We start from the raw sequence: 19,011 nt of genomic DNA on the forward strand, positions 1-19,011 counted from the left end.
GCCTCAACCTCTGGAGTGGCTGGGACTACTACAGGCGCACACCACCACACCCAGCTAATTTACTTTACTTTTTGTAGAGATGGGGTCTCAGTATGCGCCCAAGCTGATCTGGAACTCCTGGCCTCAAAGGATCTTCTTGCTTCAGCCTCCCAAAGTGCTAAGGTTACTGGCATGAGCCACTGCACCAGGACTTTTAATGGAAAAATGATATTGTGCCTGAGATTTGCTTCAAAATAATCTGGGGTGGGGGGGAATGGAGGGCATGGAGGAAATGAGAGGGGCTGTGAGTTGATTGCTGTCAAGCTGGATGGGGGTTTCATGGAGGTTCATTGTGCTATTCTCTCTACTTTTGCATACAGTAAGATTTTTCTATAATAAAAATAAATGTAAGTAGGATTGATTGTTCCTCCTCTTGAAAGGATTCACCTTGCACATTCTTGAAAGGTGGCCAAGGAAGCCACCCCTTGTCCCCGTTCCTGTGGGATGAGGTATGTCTGGAGCGAGCAGAAGTGGGTGTGACTCTGCCCTGTCGCGCACATCTACTGAAGTCTTGAAAAATAACGGAACCCAATACACATTGAAAAGTGACTTTCTCCAACATCAAGTTATTGCACCGTTGTTTGGTAGGGTAGGGAGCAACAGAGGACCATGACGTCAGACTCCAGAACTCAAACATTTTTTCCCCTTCTTCACTGAAAACTCAGACCGTCTTCACATTTTGTTCTGAGACCAGGAGGAAGATCTGGGGCTCTTGGCCAGCATCTCCTTCTTGTCAGGATTGGCCTCTTTGTTTCCATTTCTTTAAAGAATGAAAAAGAGCAGAAGAACCTAGAAAACATTATGCACCTTTCATAGAAATAAAATACAAGCATACTATGTCCATTTCTCATAGACACTGGAGCCAGGCGCTCATTTTATTTTCAGATATGTGGGAGAATCTTTTGTTAGATACTCAGCCCAGCACAATGGGGAGAAAACAGGATATACATGTATGGTAACTAGGTTGTAAATAGATTTTAATCCCTTGAGCCAGCCTACCTTTAGTTCCTAATGCCCTGCCCCACAATGAAATTACATGGCCAATATCCTAGATCTCAGCTTTTCAAAGTTTCCTTCTTTACGCAGTCCTGGAATTCCTTACGTGCTTAGAAACAAAAACAATTTTATGATAAATGACTCAAAAAAGAAACAACTTTGCAATAAACTTTCAGCATTTTCCCGAACAGGAGAGTAACAGTCCCAAACAAAGCCACCCAAATTATTTTCCTTGCTTGCTGAGCTGCAAATCTTTGTTCTGCACGCTGATTCCTGATCCATGGTGCCCTTTTCATTAATTTGCTGGCAGATTTGAACCAAATCTGATTCCCATCCTTTCCATAAAACCTCCGATCTCTCCTGAGAGCCAAAGTCTGGGCCCAGGAAGTGGAGTTAGAAACAAAAATGAATTAACACTGAGTAAAAAAAAAAAATTGAATAAAGCATGCTAAACCTTCTTCATGGCTTCTTTCCTTTAATACTCATCCATCCCTCTGAGGTGACTGCTTTAATTCTCTTCATTTCATACATGGAAAAACTGGAGCTGAAAGGGGTTACAGCTAGTAAGAGGCTGAGCTGTGACTTGAACAAATTTCTTTTTGACTCTAAAGCTCAAGTTTATAATCACTGTAATAAACCCCTTTTATCAGGAGGCTTTGGAAGGACTTATTTACATTAAAAGTAGCAGAACTTTGCAGAAAAGATGCCAAGGCAGCAAGACATAGTAAGAAAGGGCACATATGGTTGTGCATGCTGAGCCCTACAGAGGGCGCTGTTTGCATTATAGTTTATGGGACTAGCGTCCCTGGAGTTGTGCTGAGCACTGGCTGCAGCAGGACCACCTGCCCTGAATGAGCATGGGCTTTGAAGTTTCAATAAGCTCCTATGATCTTTGACCGTGGGTAAGTTGCTTGGGGCTGACAATAAATGCAGAACAGATAATTCTGCTAAGATGACTGCTACCCTAGTGGCTATGGCAGTGGTTATGAATACAGACTCAGGAGTACTGTACTCAGAAAGCAACCTCTCCCAGTGTGTTCTTCCTGAGTGTAGAAGATCACTTTGTCTTGTATTTGGCCAAGTGCAGTTTCCTTCTCCTCCCTCTAAACCTCTAAATGCAGGAGTGCTTAAATCTCAGTCTTTGGGCATCTCCTCTACCTATACTCATTTTCAAGGTGAACTCATCTAGGCCCATAGCTCAAATGCCATCCACATACAATGACTCCCAAATTCTATCTCCAACTTTATCCTCTCCCCCAGCTCCAGACTCTATCTCTATCTTAACCTCTCCACTTGGGCATCTGATAGGACTCTGACGTGTCACATGATTTAAGACATCTGGAATAGAAATCTTGCTTTCCGCTCCTCACCTGCTCTTCTCCCAGTCTTTCTCAACCCTGTAAAAGACACCACCCTTCACCCAGCTGGCTCAAGTCGAAAGTCTACAAGTCAGCCCTAACTCCTCTCCTTCTTTTAAATCCAATTTCAATGCAAGTCCTATCAATTCTGCTCCTCAACATTTATCCTTATTCAGCCTCTTCTCCCCAGATCTGCTTGCTGCTTTTGTGTGTGTGTTGATAACTTTCATGAATCATATATTTTATTTTCCCAGTATTATAGACTAGATGTTTGTGGCCCCCCAAAATTCATACGTTGAAACCTAATTCCCAAGGTTTTGGTATGAGGTGATGGGCCTTTGGGAGGTGATTAAGTCATGAGGGTGGAATCCTCATGAATAGGATTGTGCCTTTTATTTTTAAAAGAAGGCTCCAGAGAACTCCCTTACCCTTCCACCATTTGAGGACACAGTGAAAAGATGACCATTTATGAACCATGAAGCAAGGTCTCAGCAGACACCAAATCTGCCGGCATCTTGATCTTAGACTTTCCAGCCTCCAGAACTATGAGAAATAAATTTCTTTTGTTTATAAGCCCCCAGTCTATGCTAGTTTGTTATACCTGCCCAAATGCACCTAGATACATTTTGTCTTTCAGTATGTAGGTTATAATTTTCCCTTTAAAAACAGTGTCTTCAGGGGTGGGTCCTGAATATCAAACTTTTATTGCTCTCAATTTCAAACCAGTATAAACACCTAATCCTAGTCCTGCTTTGACCACAAGCATCTTATTTAATTTTTTATTTATAGACAGGATCTCACTCTGTCACCCAGGCTGGAGTGGGCTGATCTGGAGGAGAATCAGACAGAGGCTGTGAGATATTCAGGCCAGTTTTTGACACATTGAGCATAAGGTGCTTTGGTATAAACAGAGATTTTTTAGTCGGAAATTGGTGGTGCAAGATTAGAGTTTTAGAAAATGGTTGCTGCTCAAGGTACACATTGAGCAAGATCATAGCTTACTGTAGCCCCGAACTCCAGGGCTAAAGTGATCCTCCCACCTCAGCTGTCCAGCTACTTTTAAATTTTTTTTGTAGAGATGAGGTCTCTCTGTGTTGCTTATGCTGGTCGTGAACTCCTGGCCTCAAGTGATCCTCCCACCTCAGCCTTCCAGAGCACCAGGATTACAGGTGTGAGCCACTGTGCCCAGCCTGACCACAAGCCTCTTGAAGGACTTGGTCTCTTCTCACACCAACAGCTTCTTCCCAAGCCACTCACTATTCCATCCTCTATAATCTCCTCCACCCAAAATTGACACTGCTCTTGACAAGGCAATGACTTTCTAATTGCCAAATCCAAAGGCTTATCTCTAGACCTAATCATACTCGACTCTCGGATCACGGGAAATTGCTGATCCTTCCTTCTGCTCTGGATCCTGCGGCCCCTGCATCCTGCATTGCTCCAACCCCTCTGGCTCAAAGGTGTCAGACTTATTTGATTACTCTTCTTGCAGACTTTACCCTTGATCTTCCTCTCTTCTCATTCTTCACCACTGGTTCTTAAACTTATTTTTTCAAGGACACCTTTGAAAACATGCTAGAAGCTATGAGAGAGTCATCCCTAAAATAAATAAGTAAAAATGCCTATATTCATGGACACATAATACCCTAAGTAATTTCAGGAGTTTCTTCACACCCTCAAGCCAAGTTAGACCCTCTGCTCTACTTTCTCAGCTGGGGGGGTGCCAACCACCCCCAGGGCTTCCATCATCACCCATATGTTGATGGCTTTCAAATGTGTACCTTGAGCAGCAACCATTTGCCAAAACTCTAATCTTGCACCCCCAATTTCCAACTAAAAAATCTGTTTATACCAAAGCACCTTATGCTCAATGTGTCAAAAACTGGCCTGAATATCTCACAGCCTCTGTCTGATTCTCCTCCAGATCGGCCCATTGCATAATGACTCACCATTCGCCCCATTACCAAGGAGGAATTGGCTCTTCTTCTCCCTCCTCTTGCTGCTTCCCAGGCTCCAGCCTTTCTCATCTCTTGCCTGGATTACTGGAGGAGCCTTCTGCTTGATCTGCCTGTCTCCCTCATTGCCCTCTTCAAACCCACCTGCTACACTGCAGCGAAATTTATCTTCAGCCTTTCCCTGCATCAAACCCCATTGCTCACAGCAGTACTTCCCCAAGCGTGTTTCAAAGAATACAAAGTCTCCATGATATTATATGAATGGAAAAAGTTTTCATGGTCAATTAAGTTGAAGAAAAGAATGAAAATTAGTTAGGCTTAATTACATCTCAGAGTCTTCAATATGCTAAAACACATTTCGGAGCTCCAACTGGGAGATATGAAATAAAGCCTTTGTCAAACTATGTGGCAACAAAAGAGCCTAGTGTACCTCAGAATACACTTTGGATGCCACTGGTCTATGAGCTGAACTTTAATTTCCTTGTCCATCTCTTTTTCTTTTTGACTTCTAGCTGCTATTTTTGATAGTGTAGACAATGGGAGGAAGGACAGCAGTGGCTTCAGGAAAACTAGCGTTTAAATCTCAGCACAGGACTTCTGGTCAGATTATTTCTCAGGACATGCGCCGTCTAGTGTCCCTGGGCCTCTCGGGAGGCTGAGCTCTGTGGGCTGTGGCACCAGGCGCCCTGGGCCTCTGGCTTTCAGCTGAGTTTGGGCATTGGAAAGCAGTGGTAGCAGAGGTGACGGGAGGGTGTTCATTCCCCACTGCCACCTTCCCTCTGGTGGTTCTGCAGTGCTCCCACACTCTCCCTGATCCCAGCTCTTGTCTGGTAGGGGTGACTTGCCTTCTCTTCCCCTTTAGGCCTGGGGGTGATCATGGCTTCCAGCTGCTACTAACCCCTGGGGGCTCCGTCATCGCTTGTTAGCCCCCTTAATTCTGCCCACACCTTTGTAAATAGTCCATTCCTTAAACTCTTTTCAATTAAACCTTCTGAGTACGCCATCCTGTCTTCCCTGATGGAGACAGGACTTTAGTCTCCTTACAAAATGGGGATGGTAACATCTACCTCATGAGACAGCTGAGAATGTTCTGTGAAAGTACCTGAGGTGTGCTGCACCCAGTACAATGCCTGACCCCCAGCAGTGCCCACTGAATAAGAGATGACTACCCCAGTCCTGCCAGTTGTCCAAGTAGTGACCTACTCAAGAGTCTCTCTGCTCCCTTGCCAGTGATCCAGGCTGAGGTGGGCAGAGGGAAATTATGCCAGGCCCCAGTCTGAAGAGACCAAGCAGCCATCAGGACGCAGGGTCCTGTCAGCAGTCACAGAACAGGACTGACCTGCAGGTCCTACTCCAGGGCCCCGGAACAGAGGATCCTAACAGGGATTGGAACAGCCAAGGGTCAGGGTGTTTCTGTGCTCAGCATTCCTCTTGGAAGAAAGCAGCCTCTGTGCTGGGCCCAGATGGTCTGGCCTTCCACACTGGCCAATTGTTTCGCGAGGAGGAAATCCTTCCAGCTTCCAGTCTACTCCTTGTCCCCCACTGAAGTGATCAAGTGGCCTGGAAGAGGGGGTGCTATTTGGAAAGGGAGGACACTTGAATTAGGTTTCCGGTACATTTCCCAACAGGCATACAATGGGGAAATTTTAAAAGGGGTTAATAAGCCAGGTGCAGTGGCTAGTGCCTGTAATTCCAGCTACTTGGGAGGCTGAGGCAGAAAGATCACTTGAGGCCAGGAGTTCAAGACCAACCTGAGTAACAGCAAGACCTTGTCTCTAAAACAATTTTTTTTAATAGTAAAAAAAAAGGCCAGGCGCAGTGGTTCATGCCTGTAATCCCAGTATTTTGGGAGGCCAAGGTGGGCAGATCACTTGAAGCCAGGAGTTTGAGACCAGCCTGGCCAACATGGCAAAACCTCATCTCTATTAAAAATATAAAAATTAGCTGGGCGTGGTGGTTCATGCCTGTAGTCCCAGCTTCTTGGGTGACTGAGGCACAAGAATTGCTTGAATTTGGGAGGCGGAAGTTGTAGTGAGCTGAGATTGTGCCACTGCACTCCAGCCTGGGCGGCAGAGCAAGACTGTGTCTTAAATAAATAAATAAAATAGTAATAAAAAAATAAAAGGGGCTGGGCACAGTGGCTCATGCCTGTAATCCCAGCACTTTGGGAGGCCGAGGCGGGTGGATCATCTGAGGTTAGGAGGTCGAGAGCAGCCTGGCCAACATGGTGAAACCCCGTCTGTACTAAAAATACAAAAATTAGCCAGGCATGGTGATGGGCGCCTGCAATCTCAGCTACTTGGGAGGCTGAGGCAGAAGAATCACTTGAACCTGGGAGGTGGAGGTTGCAGTGAGCTGAGATCGCGCCACTGCACTCCAACCTGGGTGACAGAGTGAGACTCCGTCTCCAAATAAATAAATAAATAAAAATAAAAGAGCATTAACAGAAATGATATGTTAGAGAACACTTAGTGAATCTGCAGGCAGGCAAATTTATTTATATTGAGCCCTCATATAGGAAATTAATGTATTGGGTGTGTTGAACAAAGCATACCTGACTTATGGCACGTAATCAAAATGCAGTTTTATTTTGTTTTCTACTGTCTCTTTAAATCAATTCAGTGGGTAAAATTTTCACAATCTCTCGAAAATCAGGGAGTTTTTCTACACTCTTAAAGCCAGGAATAGACAACCTAATTCAGAAACAAAACAATACAGTATGGTATCCAACACCTCAAACTTCACTCTAGGGCAAGTCTTCTTTGCCTTCTCCCCACCCAGGTGCTCTCTGGTACAAAATTGTCTCCCAGGACCAGGATCCCTCCTGTAGCAGAGGTGCCAGCTGAAGGAAGTCTGAGCTCTCCCATCACCCTGGGGCCTCAGCGATTTAAAATGTAAAATTTCTCCCAGCATCAGGGAGTCCCCACGTTGATCTGCCACAGAGAGACGTGACTAGTCAAACGCCAAATGAGAATGCAGAAAAAGAAGCCAAGTCAGGAGGGAGGCGGGCCTCTGCCTGGAAAGGGAGCAGGGAAGGTTTCATGGCTCTCTTCCCCGGGGCTCTTTGCCTTCCCATCCCAAAGTGGGGCCACAGGCCCTGGGGACCCTGAGGCTATCCCAGCACTGCCAAGGATCTAGCTCTGGTAGCACAGGATGCCCTGATGTCAAGCAATTCACGAGTAGGATAGGATAGTGGGATTCTTAACTCTCCACAAGCCATAGTAAATGCAAGCTTGGGGGCCAGGAGGAAGGAGGTAAGAAGGAGAAGGTGTCACACGCCAGGGCCAAATTAAATATCTCTATCCCCCAAGACACTGCAGGACTCTCCATGACGTGCTAGCTAAACAGGCTGAGTTGCAGCTCTAGAAATTTATTTTGAGAACCGCAGATCTGTGGAGATGGTGAAATTGCAAGTCTAAACAAATCTCTTTGTCAAGTGAGGGCACAGGTGGGTGTGGATGACATCCAGACACCTGGCTTGGAGCTATTTGGGAGGACAGGCTATGAAGGAAACCCTTGGCCAAGGACCCTAAATATTTTTCTAACTTAGAATGAGAAGGTAGTGGTCATAGCCCCTCCATTTGATCCCAACCCCTTCAACCTCCCCCAACCAGACCCACTACCTGGAGCCCCTGGTGTGGTAGGCAGAAAAATGGCCCCTCAAAGATGTTCATGTCTTAATCTACTGAACTGGAGAATGTTATCCCACATGGCAAAAGGGACTTGGCAGATGTGATTAAACCAAGGATGTTGAGATGGGGAGATTATCCAGTGGGTGCCCCCAGTGTCATCACAAGGGTCCTTATACGAGAGGGGTGGGAGTGTCAGAGTCACAGAAGGGACTGACAGCAGAAGCAGAGTCAGAGGGAGGCCAGCGTTGGCTTTGAAGATGAAAGGGGCCATCACCAAGGAATGGACAGCCTCTAGAAGCTGAGAAGACAAAGAAATGACTTCTCCCCTCAGAGCCTCCAGGCAAGTACAGCCCTGCTGCCTCCCTGACTGTAAGGTGGTGAACAGATTTCAGACTTCTTCGGAACTATAAAATCATTAACTGTGTTGTAAGACACAAAGTTAGTACCTGTTACAGCAGCCATAGGAAACTAACACATGTGGTAAGAGAACGTTGATATGGTTCTTTCAGGTTCCTAAAGGCCCAGTTAAAAATAATCCTGATGAGAAGACATCACGCCACCCACCCACCCACCCCACTCCTGTCCATTTTACTGTGGGAGAGCCCACTTCCAAAAGCTGGATGTTTCAGGGTTGTCCATATCCAGAACTTAGTCACAATCACGGACACCACAGGGTGTCCCAGTGTGAAGTATAGCCGTCCCACTTCATGGGCTGACGCCCCATCCTGGAGTGGATGCATTTTGATATAAGGATGAGTTCCCTTTTAGAAAGAAAGCACCAATCGAGACTTTTTTCACCAATTATGACATTAGTTAAAGGATCATGGTGACTCATAGGGTGGTGGGAAGAATGAATGGCCAGCCTACATAATTTCTCGATGAGAAACATCAGCAAGTGCTAAATGGTATTCGAGTATTCTTTTTTTTTTTTTTTTTTTTTGAGACACAGTCTTGCTCTGTCGCCCAGGCTGGAGTGCAGTGGTGTGATCTTGGCTCACTGCAACCTCCACCTCCTGGGTTCAAGCGATTCTCCTGCCTCAGCCTCCTGAGTAGCTGGGATTACAGGTGTGCACCACCACGCCCAGCTAATTTTTGTATTTTTAGCAGAGAGGGGGTTTCACTATGTTTGTCAGGCTGGTCTTGAACTCCTGACATCAGGTGATCCACCCACCTCGGCCTCCCAAAGTGCTGGGATTACAGGCGTGAGCCACTGCGCCCCGCCTAGTATTTGAGTGTTCTTGAGGAAGACATCAGCAACTGGAAATACTGGGGATAAAAACACATGCCAGCCTAAGATCAATACTCAATGTTAACATTATTAGAACCATGTAAATATTATTCCCAGATGAGCCATATAGTGCGTTGTGATTTTTTATATGATACAATTTTTTGTTTTCTGTCAATAATTGCCTTTGTTTTGTTCCATTTCTTAGGTAACCATCACTATTTAATTTTCAAACTCTGGAACTAAGTATAAATCTCCTAAGATGTTTAAACACATGAGGCAATCTGAAGTGTTCTTTTTTTTTTTTTCTTGGTTACTCCTGAATCCCTCCATCATCCTGGTCCTCTCTGGACCGCTCCTCTTTAGGGTGATTGACAGCAATACCTCTTATGCTGGATTAGCTTTGCTTCTGGACTGAGAGTGCTACATGGGCTGAGAGGTATCCTAGAGAAAATTGCCTTGGAGTATGTGCCAGTTCTGATTTTTTCCTGAAGAGACTTTATGGCCTCTATTCATGCAGGGAACATTCTCAATCACATTGTATTTAGCCTCATCCTGGACCAACTCTCACATTTTTTAACTGACAATGGGTCAAGTAGACTTGGCCGAAGATGGCTGGCAGGGTCTCAAACTTTTTAAGTGAACACAGACTTGAAAAGAAGAAGCTGTTAATTGTGCCCTGAGGGTAGACCTGGCTCCCACTGTACAAGGGGGCTCAAGCACATACCTGGTTCATCACCCAAAGTGGACCCAAAGTGGGCAAGGATAGTGAGGCTTTCACCCAGGAAGGGGAGCCACATTATCACCTGAGTCCCTAAGATCAGATAAATAAATGAAGGTTATTTAAAATGGTGACAAGATGGGGCTGGGTGCGGTGGCTCATGCCTGTAATCAAAGCACTTTGGGAGGCAAAGGCAGGCGGATCACTTGAGGCCAGAAATTCAAGACCAGCCTGGCCAACGTGGTGATACCCCATCTCTACTAAAAATACAAAAATTATCCAGTCATGGTGGTGCACATCTGGTTCCAGCTACTCAGGCTGAGGCACGAAAATCACTTGAACCTAGGACATGGAGGTTGCAGTGAGCCAAGATCGTGCCACTGCATTCCAGCCTGGGCAACAGAGCGAGACTCTGTCTCCAAAAAAATAATAAAATAGGCCGGGCACAGTGGCTCACGCCTGTAATCCCAGCACTTTGGGAGGCCAAACGGGTGGATCACGAGGTCAGGAGATCGAGACCATCCTGGCTAACAGGATGAAATCCCGTCTCTACTAAAAATACAAAAAATGAGCCGGACGTGGTGGTGGGCACCTGTAGTCCCAGCTACTCGGGAGGCTGAGGCAGGAGAATGGCGTGAACCTGGGAGGCGGAGCTTGCAGTGAGCCGAGATCACGCGACTGCACTCCAGCCTGGGTGACAGAGTGAGACTCCATCTCAAAAATTAAAATAATAATAATAATAATCATAAAATAACATGCTGAATTATTTTTTTCCTTTTTTCCTAATTTATTAGTCAATTGTCCTAGAAAATGCATTCTCAGTAGGGGTGACAAAACCATTACAATCGTTTGTGATCTTGCAAAGGGCCATGGTACATACACAGATATACAGTATATCTGTGATATTAAAACTTTATGGGGAGAAGGGTAATTTTTTAAAAAATTGGCAAAAAAGCTTCCTTAAGGGGCAATAAAAAAGACTGAGAAATTTCATTCTAGAGATTACTGAATAAATACCAGGTGTAATTACTGATCTCTTTATAGTAGGCTTTTTAGTTTAATCATTAAAATTGGAGTCGGAAGTGTTTTCTGTTTTTGTTTGTGATTGGAAAAATAATTCCTACAAAAACTACCTCACAACAGAATCCTTCAATAGTCATGGCCCAGGAAGCTGAGGCGGAAACAAGAAACCCAGGTGTTACCTATTGGTAATTGTCCAGGCAGTAGAAACCAGAGAATGAGGGAAAACCTTGTATATGAAGTTCACCAAGTCATGAGATGAGGGGTAGCTGTCCTTTTTCCAGGACACTTGGTGGTGAGGCTACTCGTATTCTCAGCAGTCATCTGGAATAACATACTAGTGCTAATGGGTGGGTCCTTTCATTTTAAGTTGTGCCATCTGTGGTTGTGACCTAAGGGCCCTGGCAATCAACTATACTGCCACTTTCGAAAATCTTACAGTAAAAATTGACTGAGAATAATTATACATAATCAGCTGTCAGAGGCAAACAGGAGCCCTGGGGTAAAATACTTGGAAGCTTGAATTCATTAATTGTTTAGAAGAAAGAGGTCAAGCTGTGCTCAAACCACAGGGGTCTGCAAACTTTCTATCAAGAGCCAGAGGGTGAATATTTTAAGCTTTGTGTGCCGCTTGTCTCCATCACAACTGTTCAACAGCCATCGCTGTGCAAAGGGGGCAATAGACAAATTGCGGATGAATGGGCATGGCTGTGTTCCAATAAAACTTTATTTTTGGAAAAAGAGGCAGCAGGTGAATTTGGCCTGCAGGTCATAGTCAACCAACCCTTGCTCAACCATATTACTTACCCTTTGCAACATGGAGTTTGCTTTCTTTAAAGGGATGTAGCTGTCATCTATGGAAACACTTGTTAGAATGTTTTGGTATTTTTCCTGACGGAAAATGAATAGAACAGAAACTGGAAGCTCCAGCTGAGTTTGGCTGAAGCCCCAGAGGGCCCATTTTGATGCCATTCCTTAGCAAAAAGCCCAGCCCTGGGTACCACTCTGACAGCAGACACAAGGTGGGTGGGAAGTTTATGATGTGATTATTATACATTGCCTGCCTATATCAAAACATCTCATGTACCCCATAAATACATACTCCTACTATGTACCCACAAAAATTTAAAAAAATTTTAAGAAGAGAGGTGGAATAGGCCGGAGTCAGAGGTGTGCATTTTTGGGGGGAAAGGGGAGGTTTCAAGGTCCACACATAGGCCCTTCTCTTTGGCAAATAACAGATTCTGTGCAGTTATTGTATGTGTTAGTTCGTATATTTCATTGAGCTGTATTTGGAGGAGGGGAGGATAAGAAAATATGTCTCGTTTCTCTCTGTATCTCAGCCCATAACAGTGAGCCCACCACAGTGTAGCACTCAACCAACAAAGGGTCACGCAAATCAGGCCTAGGACTCTAAAGGCTATATCCTCAGGCAACCAGTTTTGGGTGAAAGCTCCTTAGAGCCCTCTGACCTGAGGCCAGGAGTGACTGAGTTTGTGTTGTGTCTGAGATTTAAAAAAATAAAAATAAAAAAAGGCCAGGCGCGGTGGCTCAAGCCTGTAATCCCAGCACTTTGGGAGGCTGAGGCGGGTGGATCACGAGGTCAGGAGATCCAGACCATCCTGGCTAACAAGGTGAAAACCTGTCTATACTAAAAATACAAAAAAAATTAGCCAGGTGCAGTGGCGAGCGCCTGTAGTCCCAGCTACTCGGGAGGCTGAGGCAGGAGAATGGCGTGAACCTGGGAGGCGGAGCTTGCAGTGAGCTGAGGTCGCACCACTGTACTCCAGCCTGGGCGACAGAGCAAGACTCTGTCTCAAAAAAAAAAAGTGGGTCTTAAGTGGTCCCAGCTGTGGGGAGAGGAGGGCGTGAGAGACTGGGAGCCAGGTGGGGCTGGACAACTATTGTTCTACTTGAATTTTTTTTTAGAGATGGGGTCTCACTCTGTTGCTCAGAATGGAGTGCAGTGGCGCAATCATAGCTCACTTCAGGCTCTAACTTCTGGCCTCAAGCAATCCTCCTGCCTCAACTCTGAGTTGCATGGACTGCACATCCTGCTAATTTTTAAATTGCTTATAGAAATGGGGTCCTACTATGTTGCCCAAGCTGGTCTCGAATTCCCAGCCTCAAGCGATCCTCCTTCCTCTGCCTCCCAAAGAGCTGAGATTACAGGAATGAACCACCACCGTGCCTGACTTGTTTTACTTGATGAATGCTTGTTAAGAATAAAACCTGGCCATGCGCGGTGGCTCACACCTGTAATCCTAGCACTTTGGGAGGCCAAGGCGGGCGGATCACCTGAGGTCAGGAGTTCAAGACCAGCCTGGGCAACATAGTGAAACCCTGTCTCTACTAAAATACAAAAATTAGCTGGGCATGATGGCGGGTGCCTGTAATCCCAGCTACTTGGGAGGCTGAGACCAGAGAATCGCTTGAACCCAGGAGATAGTGGTTGCAGTGGGCTGAGATCGTGCCACTGGACTCCAGCCTGGATGGCTGAGCAAAACTCCGTCTCAAAAAAAAAAAACAATAAAATTTGCAAAAAGAAGCTCATAATTCTCATTCCAAGACTGTTTCAAATTCCAAATACATGGATCCGAAAATGTCAAGCTCTCTTAAATTTGGGTACTGTCTGTGAGACCAGTTAGTGAGGTTAGTCTTTCTGTTCCATCTGCCCCTCTCTCTGCCTCCCAGCTTAGCCTTGATTCCATCACATGGGCTGGAGTGGGAGCCTCAGAGGAGGCTGGACTTCCCTGGTGTGCTTGCAGCTAAAGTCATCACTTTGGTGAGCATGTTTCCTGAAGGAAGAATGACATACGAGTTCACCAATGACAATTTCTCTACATGGAGTCCTGTGGGCAGTCAAAAACACAGGCCCACCATGTAACTTCTAAAATAATGAATTGGTAATACTGGATGTCAGTGAAAGCAAACCACCCTGATGAGATGAATGCTGGCAGGCATGGAAAGGTCTAGCCATCCCTTCTCATCAGCGGACGGCTGGTCTCATCAGGACACAGCTCCCCCTCTTCTGGCCCTAAGGGAACCTGATCTCCCAGCAGATGAGGACTGTGAATCCGCTCCTGGATTTGGCAAAATTGAGGAGGTTTCTGTGGTGACCTGGGCAAAAGCCTGATTAGAGTAAGCTTAGGGAAGGATTGGAGGACAGAGAATTGGAGACAGTGAGAACTCACAGCTTTTTCAAGAATGATTAAAGAAATGAGACCAGACTGGGTGCGGTGGCTCACGCCTGTAATCCCAGCACTTTGGGAGGCCAAGGCCGGTGGATCACAAGGTCAGGAGTTCCAGACCAGCCTGGCCAACATGGTGAAACCCCGTCTCTACTAAAAATACAAAAATTAGCTGGGCATGGTGGCACACACCTGTAATCCCAGCTACTGGGAAGGCTGAGGCAGGAGAATCACTTGAACCCGGGAGGCAGAGGTTGCAGTGAGCTGAGATTACGCCACTGCACAACAGAGTGAGACTGTTTCAAAAAGAAAAGAAAAGAAAAGAAAAGAAAAGAAAAGAAATGAGACCATAATTGGCAGGCAGAGGGAGGTGGTGTGGGGGTGCTGGGACCAAATAAGATATAAGATGGAAGGAAAAATGGCACAACTGTATGCTTGGGAAGAGTAGAGAAGGAAGAACTGATGTCAGAAATGGATGGAAGGCCCCAGTGGAGTTGAAAGATGATTGAGCTGGGATACTAGAGAGAGAAAGCTGAAAAGAGACTGTGAGTGGCAAGTGGCAAGTGGGATGTTTGACATTGAGATCATAAAGAGCACAGAGGCCCAGCACGGTGGCTCACGCCTGTGCCATCCCAGCACTTTGGGAGGCCAAGGCAGGAGGATTACATGAGCCCAGGAATTCAAGACCAGCTTGGGCAACATTGTGAGACCCCCATCTCTACAAAATTAAAATTAAAATTAAAATTAAAAAAATAAAGAGCACAGACACTATCTTGAATCCACAGAAAAGTATCCTGCAGAGGGCTGACCTTACTGCCTGTGTGCAGGCTCCTTCTTGAATTATGCTGAGAAGGCTTCTAGTTCAGCGGAGGATCATGAGGATGAGGAGCATGCACTACGGATGACTGAGTAGTGAGGCTGAAATACCTAGGTCCCCAAGGGCTCTGAAACAGAGCCATTCTATTCACCCTGGGCTGCCTCTCACAGGACTTCCACCTGAGAGAAAAAGCTCCTCTCTCCCTTGGGTTCCTGTTATTCTGAGTCTCAGTTCTTTGCAGATGAACCCAATTCTAACTAATAGGAATAGTAATAGAAAAGAAGCCACTGTAACAAAATTGTACCAAATAAAATAGAATTTAGGGCTAAAAGTAATAAATAGAAAGTAGGACAGTATCTGATGATAAAAGGATTGATCAAAAAATCATAAATTTAAATGGACTTATTAATATAGCTTGTTATATGTTAGTAGACTATAAGAAATGATAGTTTAAGTGGACAAAAATAGTATTAAATAAGAAAGAGTGTACATATACAAAAATTACCATGTATTATGTCCTAAAGTTTATTCTTAGTTGCTGAAAAATGAATCTACTCAAGCTAATTTAAGCAGAGAAGAGCTAATAAGATATTAGGTAACTCCCCAGTTCTCCAGGTAGGGCTGACAGCCAGGTTTGTATATCAGGACCCACACATCTAGGAAAAATGCCTACTCACATCATGAGATTGTCCTAGCAGAAACATCACTGCCATCGCCTCCACCACTTGACACTCTGCACCTTTGACAGTAGGAACAAGATCCCAGTCAGTGCTCCCTGCAGGAGGCGGCAGCCTCATTCTGTCTAGTGCAGAATGGCTGCTTGATGGAAGCTAGTTAAGTAAAAGTCTTACCATGCTCAAAAAGCCACCAGCCCAGACAGTTTTTTTTTTGTTTTTTTTTTTGTTGTTGTTGTTTTTGAGATGGAGTCTTGCTCTGTCACCCAGGCTGGAGTGCATTGGTGTAGTCTCGGCTCACTGCAACCTCCGCTTCCTGGGTTCAAGCAATTTTCCTGCCTCAGCCTCCTGAGTAGCTGGGATTACAGGCACCCGCCACCACGCCCGGCTAATTTTTGTATTTTTAGTACTGACAGGGTTTCACCATGTTGGCCAGGCTGGTCTTGAACTCCTGACCTCATGATGCACAGGCCTCGGCCTCCCAAAGTGCTGGGATTACAGGCGTGAGCCACCACTCCCGGCTGCCCAGTTTTATATGCAAGCTCTGTTACACCTTCATAGAAGAAATAAGCCCTTATAGATGTTTTTCATAGAATAGAAAAAGAGGGAAAGCTGTCCAACTCACTTTATGAGACTAGTATAATGTTGATACTCCCCAAAATAAGAAGAGTACAAGAAAATACAATTGTAAGCCATGCTCTCTTATGAATGTAGATGCAAACCTTTTTTAAAAAAGTTAACAAATCAGAAAACCAAATGCCACATGTCCTCATAAGTGGGGGCTAAACATTGAGCACACATGGACATAAACATGGGAACAGACACTGCGGACTGCTCAAGTAGGGAAGGAGGGAGAGGGGCATGGGTTGAAAAACCACCTATTGGGTACTGTGCTGACTACCTGGGTGCAATATCCCCAAGTCACAAGCCTGCATCTGTACCTGCTATATCTAAAATAAAAGTCGAAATTTTTTTTAAGTCACAAATCAAATTTAGTACCATATTAGGAAAAAAACAAAAACAAAAAAACAACCTTCCTGGCCAAGTAGGGCCCTTGGGAACACCAGATAGAAAGAGGTAATGCAGCCTATGGTTAAGAGACAGGTCTGGAGCCAGTGTATTTGCCGCTGTCTAGCTGTATGGCCTGGGGCAATTTACCTAACCTCTCTGCACCTAGGTTTTCTCACCTGTAAAATGAATGTAACAATAGTTCTTACCTGATAGGATAGTTGTGTGAACTAAATGAGTAAATTAAGTCAAGAACATAGAAGAGAGACTTAATTAGTTGTCATTACCTCACCAAATGCAGTGGAGATAGAGGCCAATAAACAAGGATGCAACACAAGACTGACAGCAGCTGATGCTGGCCAAGGATGACAACAAACCAGAAACCTCCTCCTTCCCTTCATGCCACATGAGTCTATCAGAGCCCGGATGCTACCTTGGGGACCAACATGGAGCAGGATGGGTAGAAGCTGGAATTAACTGAGCATTGGCTGTGATTGAGATTTTCTGCTACGTTGTTCCTCTACTGAGAATCCCTACTGATTCTGAAATCTGATCTACGTCTGGAATCTCCTCCTGATCTGTGGGGTATTGCTATCAGATGCAAGAAGACTAGCTAAGGCCAGGCGCAGTGGCTCAAACCTGTAATCCCAGCACTTTGAGAGGCCGAGGCGGGTGGATCGCCTGAGGTCAGGAGTTCGAGATCAGCCTGGCCAACATGGTGAAACCCTGTCTCTACTAAAAATACAAAAATTAGCCAGGTGTGGTGGTGGGGAAACTGTTTTTAATAGAGTAATGGAGGTGAAAACCACGCTGAAGAGTAAATATTAACGAGGGGCTTGGTATCCCTTGTTTTATATAACTGTAGGTCTATCTAATTCCAAAGCCCATACTGCTCACTTTTCAACATCCTGCTAAATTGTCACTCTTCCCTCCTGCTTTTCTTTAACCAGTATATTGATTAAACCACACAAGCAAAGAAACGTGCCCAACTGCCTAGAGTACTAGCTAACAGAGTCTGGATAAATTACTAGCAATACTTATTGTTTAATACAATTCTGTTTTTTGTCCTTATAACAATTACACATTCTGACCTCCACATACATAATGAATGTGGAGAACCATCTTTTGGCCTCCCCAGGCCACTATCTTTTGGAAAACCAGCAAATTTAAAGACCAACCAACACTATGATGTGAGCGCCACCTACTGTTAAGAAACTTAAAAGCACATCTCAGATAGTCCTCATATCTTGAATTGGTTCAAAGTATTAAAGCACATGTTCCAGAGATACTTCAGTTGGATAAATCGTAGGTGATACTTACTTTCAGTTAACTAGTTAAAAGGTTAAAACTTTAAAGGTTCCCTTTAATTTTTTTTTTGAGACAGTCTCGCTCCATCCCCCAAGCTAGAGTGCAGTGGTGCGATCTCGGCTCACTGCAACCTCTGCCTCCCAGGTTCAAGCGATTCTCGTGCCTCAGCCTCCCCAGTAGCTGGGATTACAGGCGCCTGCCACCAGGCCTGAGTAATTTTTTGTATTTTTAATAGAAACAGGGTTTCGCCACGTTGGCCAGGATGATCTCGAACTCCTGACCTCAGGTGATCTGCCCGCCTTGGCCTCACAAAGTGCTGGAATTATAGGAGTGAGCCACCGTGCCGGCCAAGTTCCCTTTAATTTTTTTCTCTTTAACCTTTAGTTAATTAGTAAACTGGTCAATTATTTGTGCATGTTCTCTCTTTTAACTACAAAATTCTGTCTTTTAACTACTTAAGAAGTTTTAAGTTTTACAATTTAAGTTGTTTTATATGTAATGTTGAATGTTTTAAATAGTGGACATTTCTAAGACCTACTTGGTGGGCTTGCATTTGAAAACTTCAACCTGGCTGGGTACAGTGGCTTACACTTGTAATCCCAGCACTTTGGGAAGCCGAGGTGGGCAGATCACCTGAGGTCAGGAGTTCAAGACCAGCCTGGCCAACATGGCAAACCCCATCTCTACTAAAAATATAAAAATTAGCTGTGCATAGTTGCACATGCCTGTAATCCCAGCTGCTCCGGAGGCTGAGGCAGGAGAATCACTTGAACCCTGGAGGCAGAGGATGCAGTGAGCTAAGATCACGCCATTGCACTCCAGCCAGGCCCTAGATACTAGAAATCTAGGGTTTTAAAAAATTATCTCAATGTAGAGCAAACAATATAAAAATATAACAAAAGGCTAAGTGGTATAATGGAAGTCTCTGTGAAGAAAAATCAGAAAAGTTTGCTGTGGGCTTTTCTACAGAGGCAACTTTTGAACTACAGAATGTCAGAACAGGTAAGAATTTATTCATTTGTCCATTTATTTATTAAGTACCTACTATATTCACAAAGACAAATAAT

At 44.9% G+C, this 19,011-nt stretch overlaps 1 annotated feature.

The window, feature by feature from the left end:
• Positions 11,083 to 11,859: an enhancer, noted in NCBI's record as "OCT4-NANOG hESC enhancer chr1:62866517-62867293 (GRCh37/hg19 assembly coordinates)". NCBI's record gives its function as "activates a minimal SCP1, AML or CMV promoter by ChIP-STARR-seq in naive and primed H9 embryonic stem cells {active_cell/tissue: H9 hESC(naive and primed)}" and the evidence as "EXISTENCE:reporter gene assay evidence [ECO:0000049][PMID:30033119]".

The sequence above is a fragment of the Homo sapiens genome, chromosome 1, assembly GCF_000001405.40.
Source record: "Homo sapiens chromosome 1, GRCh38.p14 Primary Assembly".
NCBI lineage: Eukaryota > Metazoa > Chordata > Mammalia > Primates > Hominidae > Homo > Homo sapiens.